The following is a 15,151-nucleotide window of genomic DNA, read 5'->3' on the forward strand; positions in this document are numbered from 1 at the left end:
CCAAACTGTCAACAATACATTATCCTGAACACCCCACCTCTGCTGGTATATAAAAGAAACTGAGACAGAGGGGCTTAAGTCACATATTTCAAACTATGGATAGAAAGTGACAGAATTAGAATTCTAGCCTAAGCTGTGACTCCAACACCTATGATCTTACTACTAGGTCACAGTGACTGCAGAGTCAGCAGGAATGGTTCTCAATTAATGAAAAGTGTGCAAACAAAGGAAGTAAATGAAATGGCCAGAAACTGAGTCTGTGAGTAGGAAATGGGTGATGGTGACAGGATATATAGAAAGAGAGACACTGGGATTTTGACTGGAGCCCTTCCCCCAAACTCATTGCCCCAGGTCTTAGGTATCTTGAAATTAAATGCCTGCACCATGGCTATACCTGGTGCCTCCTGCCCAGTTTCCCTGCTGTCTCCAATCTCTGTACATTGGCTAAACTGTGCTGCCAGTGGATTTATGTTAGAAGACTGCAAGTCACATCAAAATAGTGATGTTAATGAATACAATGTCTTAAATGCCCAAAATGTTGAGTACCTCAAAGCAACTAAGATATCATCTAATTAAATTAAAGATTACACTGGCAGGGGCTAAAGAAGCAAAAGGCAAGAGACACAGTGATTAACCAAGTGTCAGAAGGGAATAAATTTTTTTTTTTTTTTTTTTTGAAACAGGGTCTCTTAGGATCTGTCACCCAGGCTGCTCACTGCAGCCTCAACCTCCCGGGCTCAAGCGATCCTCCTGCCTTAGCACCCCAAGCAGCTGAGACTATAGGAGTGCACCACCATGCCCAGCCAACTTTTTATAGAGATGGGGTTTCACTATGCTGCCCAGGCTGGTCTCAAACTCCTGGGCCCTAGCAATCTACCCACCTTGGCCTCCCAAAGTGCTGGGATTACAGGCATAAGCCACTGTGCTGGGCCCAGAAGAGAATAATTTACTCTGAAAATACAATTATAGGAATGATGGGAATTGTGGGAATAATTATGACAATGAAGCTTATACAAAAATAAAGTCAAAGAATACTTATAAACAAAATGAAGGAGAGATGGCTTCCCTGGATATTTTTGTGATCCAGAAGAAATAAAAATTCCAACAAAGATGAGTTAATTTTACCCAAAATGGCAAATTTGCATCTAGAGAAGAGTAAAATAATAAAGGGTAGGAAGCATAAGTCAGGCCCAGAACAAGACACCACAGAGAAACATGACCAGAAAAAATATGTGCAAAAATATAACACAGGAAACAACGACAGCTGGGTATGGTATCTCACACCTGTAATCCCAGCACTTTGGGAGGCCAAATCAATTGAACCCAGGGGTTCAAGACCAGCCTGGGCAACGTGGTGAAACCCCATCTCTACCAAAAATACACACATTAACCAGGGGAAGTGGCGTATGCCTGTAGTTCCAGCTACTCAGGAGGCTAAGATGGGAGGACCACTTGAGCTCAGGAGGTTGAGGCTGCAACAAGGACAATTGTGCCACTGCACTCCAGCCTGGGTGACAGAGTGAGACCTTGTCTCCAAAAAGAAAGAAAGAAAAACAAGAAAATTAAAGAAGAACAATTCAACTATCTATGAAAATCCAAGAAAAATTAAAATTGGCAATGATCTGAACATTAAAAGAAAATTTAAAATAGCTTCACACTTGCTTCTAATTACTTATACTTTCTTATTAATGCTACATCTCTAGTACTAAGCACTGAATAAATGAACTCCAGACCTGCTCTATCTCCAACATTCCTTTCTCCCTTCACCAGCATCGTGGCACATACCTTTGAAACTTATCACTTTAAAAACTTTGGACTTCTTCAGCCTTCAACTGCCACTGCCAACACCAGTGCAGTGGTTTGGATTGGTTTAGCTTGACTCAGGGGTGGTGGGTGTCTTGTCTGGCTCAGAACTTGAGTCCATTAACAAAGATTCTCATTACCGAACTTTGTTCTCAGTGAGGGCAAGTGGGTCATCATTGCCAGACAATGGCCAACCAACCCCTCAATTGAGAAGGGCTCAGTGAGTTCAGAGCCCAAAAGCTGCAGGCTCAGATGAGAAGCACCGGAGGCTGGAGGCACTGCCCAGCACAAACACAACTGTAGCACACCCTGCCTGTGGGTCTGTTTTGCCTCCTGGGCCCTGTGGTGTCTGCAGTGCTCACTGGACCCACGCCGTGACTTGTCAAGAAGCTGTGGGCCTGTTCAGGTGACTTCTCTTTCAGTTCCCCACTCACAGCACCTAAGCATTCTCATTTCTGTTCCTTCTTCCCTGTCTAACTCTTCTTTAGCCTTGCCTTCTCCTGCAAAGCCGGCCCTCAGGGACTCTGGGAAGGGTGAGGGGTCCTTCTCATGTCCTCACCACTGCTCACCACCATGGCTCTTCCCCACCAGAATGCACTCTGTGGGCAGGGATCAGGTGTTAGTCATCTCTGTGCTGATGAAGTCTGGCACAGAGTGGGCTTCAGGTCAATGTACCAGGCTATGCACCATGCTGGGCAGGCCTTTGTTCAATAGATGTTGGTGGGATGAAAGAACAGGAGAGAAGGAGTAAAAAAATATGGAAGGTGGGTTGGATGAAAGTTTGACTTGTTGGAGAAAATGATGGCTTATTAGTATTTTACCTGCTTTATTCATGGAAAAAAAAACCACCTATAAAATTGAACCTATTAAAGGCTAAGTTCTAGCCAATGGAAGAGTATTGGATACCACAGGTTTTAATACAAGATACTTGATCTGCAACAAGTTTAAATTATTTGCACAGTTCATGCTTGCCATGCACAAAAAGGCAGCCATAAGCAACAATGCAAAACCATAAAAGAAAACTGAAAATTGACAGAATTACAGGGTTCACTACATGTACCATGGAGAAACATCAAACACCAAGAGAAAAGTTAAAGGGGAAACTTACAATTACCTGCTGGTCTGAAGGAATAAACTCAAGAGCTTTCTGGATAACACGGCAGCCATACATCTGTAGTGCCAATGACAGGACGTGGCCTCGAATCCGTTCTGCCAAAGCCAGCTTCTGTTCAAGACTGCCAAACTAGACATAATGTGTGGGTAAACACCATTACTTAAGTAGAAGGAAATAAACCAGAGAAAGCAAAGCATTCATTATTCTGCATCAACCACTGGCATAACCTCTTTTAGCCCTGATACCCATGATTAACTAAACCTTTTATTTAAAGAGCCATTGCTTCTTCAAGCCAGTAGTTCTCGATCTCTTAATTATGAGTAACCCTTTTTAATGTTAAGAAGTTTCTCGGATACCCAACAATAGGTAGTTTCACTATTAATATCTGCTAAGCAAACACATAATTCCTCAAAGCTGTCATTAATTCATACTATTAAATGAATCTGGCCAGGTGCAGTGGCTCACACCGGTAAACCCAGCACTTTGGGAGGCCAAGGAGGGTGGATCACCTGAGGTCAGGAGTTTGAGACCAGCCTCGCCAACATGGCAAAATCCTGCCTCTACTAAAAACACAAAAATTGGCTGGGCATGGTGGCACGCTCCTGTTAACTCCAGCTACTCCGGAGGCTGAGGCAGGAGAATCGCTTGAACCCAGGCGGCAGAGGTTACAGTGAGCTGAGATAGCACCACTACACTCCAGCCTGCCCAATGGAGCAAGACTGTGTGTCAAAAAAAAGAATCCTACACTCTTACTGCCAAAGCACACATGGACACACTGTTTTGAAATAGTATTCTACATCATTAAGAGAATTGATTTTTTTTTCTCCTATTTACACAAGGTAACAGAGTTGGGAGGGGAAAAATCAGTAGAATCAAGAAGTGAGGCTACACAATGTTAAAATTCTACTTAGAATGATTTTCCATCCTTGGCTTATTATTTTCATTTCAATCACATAATCGTGAGATTGGAGGAGACTTTATGAATTCTCAGCCCATCCAACCTCCTCATTCTCCCAAGGGAAACTAAGATCCAGAGAAGTTCTCAAGCTTGGTCCAAATCATATGGCTATAATCCATTGTACATTTTGTCACCCCAAGGTGCATCAGCCTCCAGAACTAGAAAGCTCAGTATTTTTATATATGTGACAAAACGGCAGTGCAAAGTCATTCTAAAATCAAAAATACAAAAGTCATGTTTAGATTGGTTTCTTAGTCCAAAGCTGAAGAATTCAGGGTGAAAAAACATAAGTCTTCATGAAAAAACTTGGGAAGGTAAAACTTGAGTACGTCAGTTTTTCATCTTCATACAAATCAAACAGGATGAGATGTTAAGACATTTACAAATTTGTTTTGTGGTAGGTAATGTGCAGAATTCCAGCATTTTCCTCCCCATACCAGACTCCTCCTCATCTCGAAGTTTTGTGCCATTCTGCATCTACACCTTAGGGTTGCCAATACCAGATAATAAGGGCTACAATGGTAAGCAAAAAAGTCCCTGCCTCTCTGAAATTTTACCTCACTAGAGGGAAAAGACATCAACCTAACAATCTCATTCTTTCCAAAGACAATGATACAACAAGTGAACATTATTCAAATTAACAGAAGTAAAACAAGAAATCAAGGCCAAACGATCAGCCAAGAAGCAGCATTTAACAATTCTTGTGACCCTAGCTGATAATGAAACATACTGGAGTCGGTGTCCAAAGACAATTCTCTAAGAACCTTAGAAAAATTTGTTTTTGGCAATATTTTATTGTGATCCTGCTAAAACTACTTTACAAGGATTATTTCCTCCTTAAGTGACACGTTTTGTGAAACTATTATAACAATCTGAAATAATGTGCTGGGTCCTAAATGGGGACACCAGTTTTCGAAACACATTTCCAAAATAGATTGGCATTATCTGCTCGGATATTTAAACCATACAGAATAGATAGACTGCTGCTAATGAATTGGAAAAACACTAAAAACCTCTTCAAAAAGACCACACACCCTTCATTCTGAGGACTGGAATGGGACTGCTATGCTTAAAAAGGCTAATGAAAATCAAAATGCTCTGCAGATTCTCTTAAGTCAAAGGATAGAAAGAACAAAGGCTTACTTCAAAGAACTTCTGAATGACGTAATTACCAAACACATCCACCATGAGTTGGTAGGCAGCCTGGAGGATTTCATTGAAGACAAGCTGGCGCTCAGCTGGTGTGGCACGCTCCAGTTTCAGCTGAATGAATCTGAAGTACAAAGTAAAAAGGGCAATCACAGCACTGAAGGAAGACCTGGAGATACATCAGTGTACCTCGGTTTATAGACTGCATCCGTTCTGAAACATGTGAGTGAGCATGTGTGCACACACATGCACACAATAAACCAAACTTTATTTGAATGAATCACTTGAACTCCCTTGAAGAGTTTTTAAATAGAGGAAGAAGGTCCTAACTTAATTGAGCTTTGAAAATTACATATAAATGTTGGCACATTTCATTCCAGTAGGGCATGCATACTGAATCTTATTTATGTGCAAGGTGGGAGGGAAGATGAAAGCGGGGGGGGCGGGGGGGGGGCGGGAGGGGCAGGGGTGCAGGAAGAGAGGAGGGGTGGAGGGAGACATAACACAACATGTACCCTACTTGACTTTTTTCCTTTAGAAACCAGCCTCACATCAATGAACTCAAAGCTTACAGTCCTTACTATATTCTTTAACTTATTTTCATATAAAACAGTACTCATCAGCTACTCGGGAGGCTGAAGCAGGAGAATGGCGTGAACCCGGGAGGCAGAGCTTGCAATGAGCCAAGATTGCGCCACTGCACTCCAGCCTGGGCGACAGAGCAAGACTCTGTCTCAAAAAAACAAAACAAAACAAAACAAAACAAAAAAACAAAAACAAAACAGTATTCATTATCTTCTGAAGTAGTAACAGTCTGCCTTTTTTTAGTCCAAATGACCACTATCAGGAAAATCATGTTGCCTCTGAATCTAGCCTATAGAATTCAAATATGAGAAATTTTGGCCCAGTAGCAAGCTGGCAGAACTTAAGGAGGAGGTAGCTTCTGTAGAAACTGTTTCACTGGACACAGTATCAGAGAAAGAAACAGAAACAGAAATGGGAAAGAAGGATGGGTGTTGTCACCATAATTATGCTCTATCCCCAGGACCAGATTCGCTTTCTGTGAAGCCCACTGCAGCAGCCCAACAGGAAGGGGTAAACCAAACCAAATTCTGTCTTCTATAATAGTTTCTTCTCTCGTCTCTACATAGACTGTCACTTCTACAGAGTGGAACAACAAAGAAAGGTGGTAGAGCTGTCTTACTCCTCAGCACCCTAGATCAAACTTGTATTTGAATAGCAACTCTTTGAGAGCAAAAGATTCTTCATAATGCTTAAAGCAGCCGAAGTGTATGTATGTCTTTGTGTTCATGTTTGTTTCTTAAATCCCTATGAAATAATGTGATGCAAACTAAGAGGCACGCTTTTAAAAAATTACTATATGGCAATTTATTTAAGTAGATACCCATCTGAGCCAAGACAGTTAAGGCATTACAATTTCGGGTACCTTAAAGTGCCAAAGCCAAGTACTCACCTGGACCCATGCTGGTCTTGGGAAAATTCCATTATATGTCCAGCAATCTCCCGCAGTTGTAAATTGGGGTACCGGTTGTTTCGAAAATCTTCCAAAAGCCTGCTCCTGCCAGAAGGCATGACATCAGACATTCCATATCGCAAACGAGAGGAAGAGAAAAGAGTGCTGCTCGGGCTGAAGAGGCTGGAGGCGCTGCTTGCACTGCGGTACTTGGCTTCAGCGCCTGGAGCAGCAGAGATGTATCTTCCACTGCCATTCGTGAGTCCTCCTGTTGGTTACAGAACAGGATAACTTAAGACCACTCTTCAGCAACTTCATTCAAGAGAGAAAAAAGCATTCCCACACCCGAAAGCCTGCACCATTTCTGATTTCTTCAATGCTGTTGTTTTTGTGTCAAGACAATTCTATTAGCGTCATGACTTTCGTGGGTCAACTCAACAACCTGGAAGGAAACTTTTGCACAAAGATTGAGAAGGGAATGCTTTTACCGTTGATGGTAGACTGCTAGTAAGGCTGGAGCAACAGTTAGCATGGCCCCTAGTAAATGAAATGAGGAAGAAATGTGCCGACCAGGTGAACCTAGCACCTGAGCACCAGCAATAAAAACTCAGAAAATGCAAAACAAACTCAGACTGGAGTGGTTTTCCATTCTGAGATCTGCGGAGATTCCTTTCATTCTTGAATAACCCCCATTTCCATCTGAAACCCACTCTAAAAAATCAGGCATCCAGATTGGTCTGTTTTATACAGGGGATCCCATGAAAAAGCTGTCTTTGAAGGAATGATTTTGCCACTAAATAGAAGTGTGAAAATCGCTAAGACATTCCAGGCCATGGATGAGACATAATGAGTACAAGACAGGAGATGCCTTAAAAATGAAAAATTTTCGAGTTTTCATTACAAATGGACAGCTCTTAACAATTTCTATTGTGACACAGCCTGAAATGACTGTAGTTCCAACAACCTTCATGCCACTGATAATGCTGTTTTGATGGGTGACAAGGGAATAATTGTGAATCACAGATAAAACAAACATATGACCAAAAGGCGTATCAAAACATATAGCAGGCCAGGCGTGGTGGCTGATGTCTGTAAACCCAACACTTTGGGAAGTCGAAGCAGGAGGATGGCTTGAGCCTAAGAGTTCGAGACCAGCCTGGACAACAGAGAGAGACCCCATCTCTAAAAAAAAATAAAAAATAAAAATTAGCTGGGTGTGGTGATACACACCTGTAGTCCTAACTACTTGGGATGTTGAGATAGGAGGATCACCTGAGCCCAGTAGGTCGAGGCTGCAGTAAGCCATGATTGCACCACTCCACTCCAGTCTAGGCAACAGAGCAAGACCTTGTCTCCAAAAAAAACAAACAAACAAACAAAAAAAAACAAAAACAAACAAACAGAAAAAAACAGTATAGCAGCATAATAAATTATGAGTATTTTAAAATAACAAAATAACAGGCCAGGGACGGTGGCTCATGCCTGTAATCCTGACACTTTGGGAGGCTGAGACGGGCCGATCACAAGGTCGGGAGATCAAGACCATCCTGGCTAACACGGTGAAACCCCGACTCTACTAAAAAATACAAAAAAAAAAAAAAAAATTAGCTGGGCGTGGTGGCAGGTGCCTGTAATCCCAGCTACTTGGGAGGCTGAGGCAGGAGAATGGCGAACCCCGGAGGCAGGGCTTGCAGTGAGCCGAGATTGTGCCACTGCACTCCAGCCTGGGCGACAGAGCAAGACTCCATCTGAAAAAAAAAAAAAACCAAACCAAAACAAAACAAAACAAAAAACAGTTCTTATTTTATTTCATTTTAAATTTTGATTGCAATAGAAAAAAGATGCCAAGCCTTTCTGGGGTTGTTTCCCCCACCTCCTTTTAAACAAAAGGCCAAAGGAGGTAAGAAATATTACATAAACCACAAAAAGTTTAGATGAATAACAATTAAAAACCCACGAGAAAAGTCATCCAATATTAACTACTTCTCAACTCTTCACAAGTCTTAATAAATGTCTGGTTTGGGGTTTAATGGTAGCCACAAAAAGATACCCAGGCTGGACTTCACAGAATTCCAGGGCCCAGCTTCAAAAGTCTGGGTCTCAATCAAAGTGATGAAACCAAAAGAAAATGACTCAATGCAGAAATTTGTAAAATATTTACTTAGTATTTGTCCTAAGCCCAATTCTATGTTAGAAGTTTTTCATATACACTTTCTCTGGAATTCTCACTGGCATTTTGGAAAAGGAGTTTGCAACTCCCATTTATGTAACAGAAAATTAAGCCCAGAGAGGTGAAATGTTCATCCAAAGATACAAAACCCAAAATTGTCATGGCCAGAATTCAGAACAGGGCTCTTGACTCCAGGGTCAAGGCCCTTTCGGGGTCTGAAATTCATTTTCTGACTCAGTTTCATCAAGTTTTCTTGTTCTACAGAACATTCTTGTCAAATTCCACAGTATTTCTGAATTCAAATGAAAAGTGATTTTTTTAAGGAAGAAAGGAGATTAACTGAAAAGAAAACAGCAGTCATAAGACTGTTTTTTTTTGTTTTGTTTTTTGTTTTTTTTGAGACGGAGTCTTGCTCTGTCACCTAGGCTGGAGTGCAATGGTGCAATCTCAGCTCACTGCAATCTCCGCCTCCCAGGTTGAAGCAATTCTCCCACCTCAGCCGTCCAAGTAGCTGGGACTACAGGTGTGCACCACCACGCCCGGCTAATTTTTGTACTTTTAGTAGAGATGGGGTTTCACCATGTTGGCCAGACTACTCTCAAACTCCTGACCTCATGTGATCCGCCCATCTCAGCCTCCCAAAGTGCTGGGATTACAGGCATGAGCCACGGCGCCCGGCCAAGACTGTTCTTTATTCCATTTCAGAAACAATTCTGTCTTACCTGTCTGAGGCTGGGGAGAAATGGACAAAGAGGTGGTAACAGGGTAGGTTGGCAGGTATGGGGAAAGTGTGGCAATAGCAACAAACATACCAAAGAAGAAGGTATGGGGCGAACACACAATGTTTTGAAAACAATTTAAAGGGATTTTAAGAAACTGGTCACTGACCAAAATGGAAGGTAAATTATAAAGGAGCCAGGTCCTTGGTGACAATGTTTAATGACAAGACAAACCAACCCTGAACACTGCCCTACCACTATACTTCCAGTTATAAAGGCCAATAAATGCACTTATTGTTTAAGCCACTCTTTGTTGGATGTTCTGTTATTATGGGCAAAAACATAATGACTAATCCACACACAGGACTGGACTGAACAACAGTTAATACGCCTACAAAAACGGTTAATACATTTACCGTGAAGTTTTGATTTTTGCCTCTTATCTCCTTAGATGTCAGACAAGTACATACTACAAGGACATTCATACACACACACACACACACACACACACACACACACACAGCTTTTATTACTAAGAAATATAGACATCTCTGAAGTGAAATTTTCCTAGGTACTAAATTATAAATGGCAATGGCAAACTGACAGTTCACAGACATATTTTGTTTGAGCCAAGCAGTACTTCTTTCAACATTAAGCCAAAGCTTAAATTTTTGCTCTAAATTGTAATATCTTGTTTTTGAAAAAAATGCGTGACAAATAGTAAATAAATATCTGACCATCAGTAAGTATTTGTTGACTGAATCTCATTTAGATGGCGAATGCACAAATGTGCTTTCCGATTCACAATAGTCTGAATACCAACATGTACTTGCACCCAAACCACTATAGCTCTGGGGGTTTGGGTGCAACACTCTGGAAGTGTTTAAATTTGCAACTGTTTTAAAAGAAACATTTCTCATAAGGCTTCAAAGGGACAGTGGTGGATTTCATAGGAGTGTGTCCTATGACAACTTTCCACAGAGAGTAAGGGCTTAAATGTTTTATTTAAATTAATAAGTGCTTCAGCTATTTTGCATAATTGTATATAAGGGATTTCTGCCAGTGGTCATGTAGTATGTCATGCCCATGCTACGTCAAATGTTATCATTTACTTGCTTTTTGTACTCATAGATCTAATAGATGCCTAATGGGCAAAGCCCTGCCTTCCCACTTTTAAAGAAAAATTCCCATGGTCCCCAGTATCTAGTTCTGTGTTTAATACAACCAGAAGCAACAATGTTCATCAAAATGTTTTAAAAATAAGTTCTCTCCAATTCATTCTCCAACACAACACCAAGGTAGCTCTAAATTAAATAACCCTGAAAACTGATCATCTTAGTGCATGATTAATGAGTCCAAAATACGTTAATTGTCACATGGTTGGTTTTACAGCTGATACGTCTCCTTCAAAGAACCAAGTGAGAAATCACAAAATATTCATTTCAATTCAGAATGGGGAAATACCTAAACACATACATGACTACTGCTTACTGGCCAGTAACTTAGAAACTTCTCCTTCAGTTCAAGCAAGGACAGAGAAAGGTATTTTCTGTTTGAGCTGTGCTTTTCCTAAAAAACTAAAAGGCGTATAAAACCCTGAAGATAAAGGACAGAAAGAATACATTTTGAGAAGATAATACTTCTATCACAATAATAAAACTAAATGCTTTTTAGTTTAGAACTAAGTTTAGAACTAAATTGAAATTTAGTTATAAATGCTTTCATTTTTTTGCCCTAGACAGCTTATGAACTTTTGAGCTCATTTTTACTATTATATATTTCATTTCTGAAGTAATGAACAACCACAACACTTTTCTTCCAGGGCAAATGAAAAGCCTGGGTGTCGTCAACAAAAAACTGTACCTGCTACCTCTTGATGTTTAAGAGTTTTTAAATGATACAGCCAGGGGATTGTGCAAAAAACTGTAAGCATGGAGAAGCATTCTAAGAAATGAGGGGTGAGAAAGGGCGGGGGAGTAGGATAAAGAGATCCATGGGTAGGCAGGGCATGAAACCATTACAGTCAGTCTTTGGGGACACTCATATCCACATCCCTTACTTTTTTTCTCTTTGAGATGGGAAGTAGAATTTACTAGACATGGATGTTTCAGTTATAGGTGAGAGTTTAAGGTTTTCTATGTAACCCACATATAAACCACAAATGAGAGTTACAGATCTAGTTGTTAAGAAAATTCATATTTATTAACTATGATTAATAATACTGTTAAATTGAGACATGTAACACATAAGTCAAACAAAATAAATACTTGCAACATCTGCCTTGTTCAGGGTCACAACATATTTTATATGTACACATTCATGGGTATATATGCATGTATGGGGAAGATGGGAGAGGAAGATTGAGAGAGAGATTTCACTTATTAAAATAGTACATTTTATGCTAACAAATTTGGCATTTTAGATGAAATGGACAAATTCCTAGAAGGTCACAAATTATCAAAACTGACTCAAGAAGAAATAAAAATCTGAACCTATAAGACCTATAAGATGTAAAGAAATGGGTTAAGTAAAAATCTTACTACAAATAAATGCCCAGGCTAAGACTGGCTTACCTGGTCAAGTTTATCAAATGTTTAAAGAAATAATGCTAGTACTCCACAAACTCTTCCAGAAAACAGAGAGGGATGGTACACTTCGAATTTCATGCTATGAGGTCAGTATCACCCTGACACCAAGCCACAACACACACCTCACGAGAAAGAAAAACACACATCCTTCATTAATACAGATTCAAAAATCCTCAACAAAAATACAAACACACCAAATCGAACATGACCAAAGTAAGATGTATATCTGGAATGCAGTTGGATTAATATCTGAAAATCAATTAATGTAACATACCACATTCACAGAATACAAGATAAAAGCCACATGATGGTCAGTTAAGATGTATATCTGGAATGCAGGATTGGATTAATATCTGAAAATCAATTAATGTAACATACCACATTCACGGAATACAGGATAAAAGCCACATGATCGTCAATTAATGCAGAAAAAATGGCCGGGCGAGATGGCTCACACCTGTAATCCCAACACTTTGGGAGGCCAAGGCAGGCAGATCATGAGGTCAGGAGATCGAGACCATCCTGGCTGACACTGTGAAACCCCATCTCTACAAAAAATACAAAAAATTAGCCGGGCGTGGTGGTGGGCGCCTATAGTCCCAGCTACTTGGGAAGCTGAGGCAGGAGAATGGTGTGAACCCAGGGGGCAGAGGTTGCAGTGAGCCGAGATTGCACCATTGCACTCCACCCTGGGAGACAGACCAAGACTCCAGCTCAAAAAAAAAAAAAAGGGCATAAAAAACACTTGACAAAAACTAAAACCCATTTGCAACAAAAACTCTCAATAAACTTAGGCTAGAAGGAAACTTTCTCAACCTAATAAAGGGCATCTACTAAAAACCAACTGTGATTATGCTTAATGGTAAAAGACAAACACTTTACCTCCACCCCCTGCCAAGATCAGGAACAAGGGAAAGATGTGTGCTCTTATTTCTTCCATTTAACACAGTCCAGGTTGAGTACCCTTTATCCAAAGTACTTGGGACCAGAAGTGTTTCAGATTTCAAAGTCTTTCAGATTTTGGAATACGTGAATTATATCTACCAGCTGAGCATCCTAATATGAAAATCAAAAATTCTAAATGCTCCAATGAGCATTTCCTTTGAGCTTTGTTAACTTTCAACAAAGACTTTGTTGATGCTCAAAAATGTTTTGGGTTTTGCAGCATTTCAGATTTTTGACTTGGGATTCTCAATCTGTCCTGGAGGTTCTACACAGTGCAATCAGACAAGAAAAAGAAAAGTCATCCAGATTGGGAAATGGCTTTTATTCTTAAGATGATATGATCTTATATGTAGAAAATCCTACAGAATCCACCCAAAAACCATTAGAACTACTAATAAACAACTACAGCGAGGCCACAGTATATAAGATCAATATACAAAAACCAATTGTATTTCCATAAGCAAGCAATAGTCTATCAAAAGATAAAACCGGAACATAATTCTATTTGTAATAGCATCAAAAATATATCCAGTTAGGAATAAATTTAACAGAAGCAGTGCAAGACCTGCACACCAAAATTACAAAGGAAAATGGTGCTAGGACAACTAGAAATGCATGTGCAAAAAGATGAACCCTGACCTGACACCCAAAATTAACTCAAAATGGATCACAGACTTATATTTAAGAGATAAAACAATAAATTTTTTTAGAGCAAAACATGAGAAAATATTCCCCCAAGAGTTTGAGTTAGGCAAAGATTTCTTCGATACTATTCCAAAACCAAGATAAACTGGACCTCATCAAAATAAAAAACTAGTGCATTTTAAAAGACAACATTTTAAAAATGAAAAAAAAAAGGGACCAGCCTGGCCAACATGGTAAAACACCATCTCTACTAAAAATAAAAAATTAGCTGGGCATGGTGGCACGTGCCTGTAATCCCAGCTACTTGGGAGGCTGAGGCAGGAGAATCACTTGAACCGGGAGGCAGAAGTTGGAGTGGGCCGAGATCACGCCACTGCATTCCAACCAGGGCCACAGAGTGAAACTCTATCTCAAAAAAATAAATAAAATAAAATAAAGAAAAAAAGGAGCCAGGAATAGTAGCTCACATCTGTAATCCTAGTGCTTTGAGAGGCCAAGGCAAGAGGATCACTGGAGGCCCGGAGTTCGAGACCACCCTGACCAACATAGCAAGACTTAGTTTCTACAAAAAAAAAAAAAAAAAAATTATTTTAATTAGCTGGGTGTGGTGGTGTGTGCTTACAGTACCAGCTACTTGGGAAGCTGGGGTGGAAAGATCCTTTGAGCCCAGGAGTTTGAGGTTACAGTGAGCTATGATAGCACCACTGCATTCCAGTCTGGGCAACAGAGCAAGACCCTGTCCCAAACAATAAAAACGGGGGGGAATAGAACTCAAAAAGGTTTGTTTTTAGTCTGAACTTTAAACAATCAGTAATGAAAAACCATGCCACTCAATAAGTGATTTTTAAAAAAATAATAGGAAAAATTACTAAACAGGTCACTGATTTTGTTAAAAGATACTAACACATATCTGCCTCCTGGGACAAAGTGTAAAAAAGACAAGATGGGGAAAAGATCCACACGAGATATAGGCTGATGTGCGCATTCAAACACTAGTTTTGTGGTCGATATCATTAGCAATATTAATTAAGCCACGCTGAATTTTAAGGGGTGAAGGGTTCTTTTGAGTATTCAACACAATGAATATAAAATGCTTAGTATGGCTGCTCATCACTGCTGATGGCTGGTGGCAGCAGTGAAGTAGTATTAACAACAGAAGCTATATTAGGTGTGGGCCAGAAAGAAATGTTATGTTTCTTATACTAAAATGTCTTTAAGGCCTTTGTATGGAGATTGTTAGAAACCAAGTAGCACACCTCTACTTTCTCGAGGAAACAGACTGAGCTGAGGCAAAGCTGTACTGAGACAAAGAGTTCCTCAGGAATGGCATGTACGAAACATGCACTACACACAACAGAAGTCCAGTGCAAATGTACACTAAAAAACTGCTTGAACAAGGTGAATGTTTCCAAAGAGAAGTTATGTTAAACATAAAACTAGGCAGGCAACAAGTCATTTGACAAGAAATAACTCACACTAATAGTTATTTCCTTCTTCACAGGGAAAACAAAAATTAAGAGGTAGTATTACATTAAATTGCTGATGCTTTAGAAAGAGGAAAGGTATCATGCATGAAAGTAGTATTT

The 15,151-nt window shown here is 40.1% G+C and overlaps 1 protein-coding gene and 1 non-coding gene across 3 annotated transcripts in view, besides 1 other annotated feature; both read right to left on the bottom strand.

Annotated features, from left to right (window-relative positions):
* The window catches only part of PUM1 (pumilio RNA binding family member 1), a 134,212-nt gene that overhangs the window by 15,710 nt on the left and 103,351 nt on the right, over positions 1–15,151 (bottom strand). Inside the window, exons 15-17 of one of the 2 annotated variants that reach the window (NM_014676.3) lie at positions 6,499–6,766; positions 5,019–5,148; positions 2,918–3,046 (exon numbers count right to left, since the gene is read on the bottom strand). In NM_014676.3, coding sequence (NP_055491.1) covers positions 2,918–3,046; positions 5,019–5,148; positions 6,499–6,766 — 527 coding nt within the window. Of the gene's footprint in view, positions 1–2,911; positions 3,047–5,018; positions 5,149–6,498; positions 6,767–15,151 lie in introns of both variants that reach the window. The other variant, NM_001020658.2, reaches the window with a different exon arrangement.
* SNORD103B (small nucleolar RNA, C/D box 103B) lies at positions 1,903–1,990 on the bottom strand. Its single transcript, NR_033295.1, has one exon. It is a non-coding gene; the product is annotated as a small nucleolar RNA, C/D box 103B (small nucleolar RNA).
* Positions 4,562–5,761: an enhancer, noted in NCBI's record as "BRD4-independent group 4 enhancer chr1:31424624-31425823 (GRCh37/hg19 assembly coordinates)". NCBI's record gives its function as "activates an origin of replication core promoter dependent on BRD2, P300/CBP, MED14 and CDK7 cofactors, and independent of BRD4, by STARR-seq in HCT116 cells {active_cell/tissue: HCT116}" and the evidence as "EXISTENCE:reporter gene assay evidence [ECO:0000049][PMID:35650434]".

The sequence above is a fragment of the Homo sapiens genome, chromosome 1 (assembly GCF_000001405.40).
Source record: "Homo sapiens chromosome 1, GRCh38.p14 Primary Assembly".
In the NCBI taxonomy this organism is placed as follows: Eukaryota; Metazoa; Chordata; class Mammalia; order Primates; family Hominidae; genus Homo; species Homo sapiens.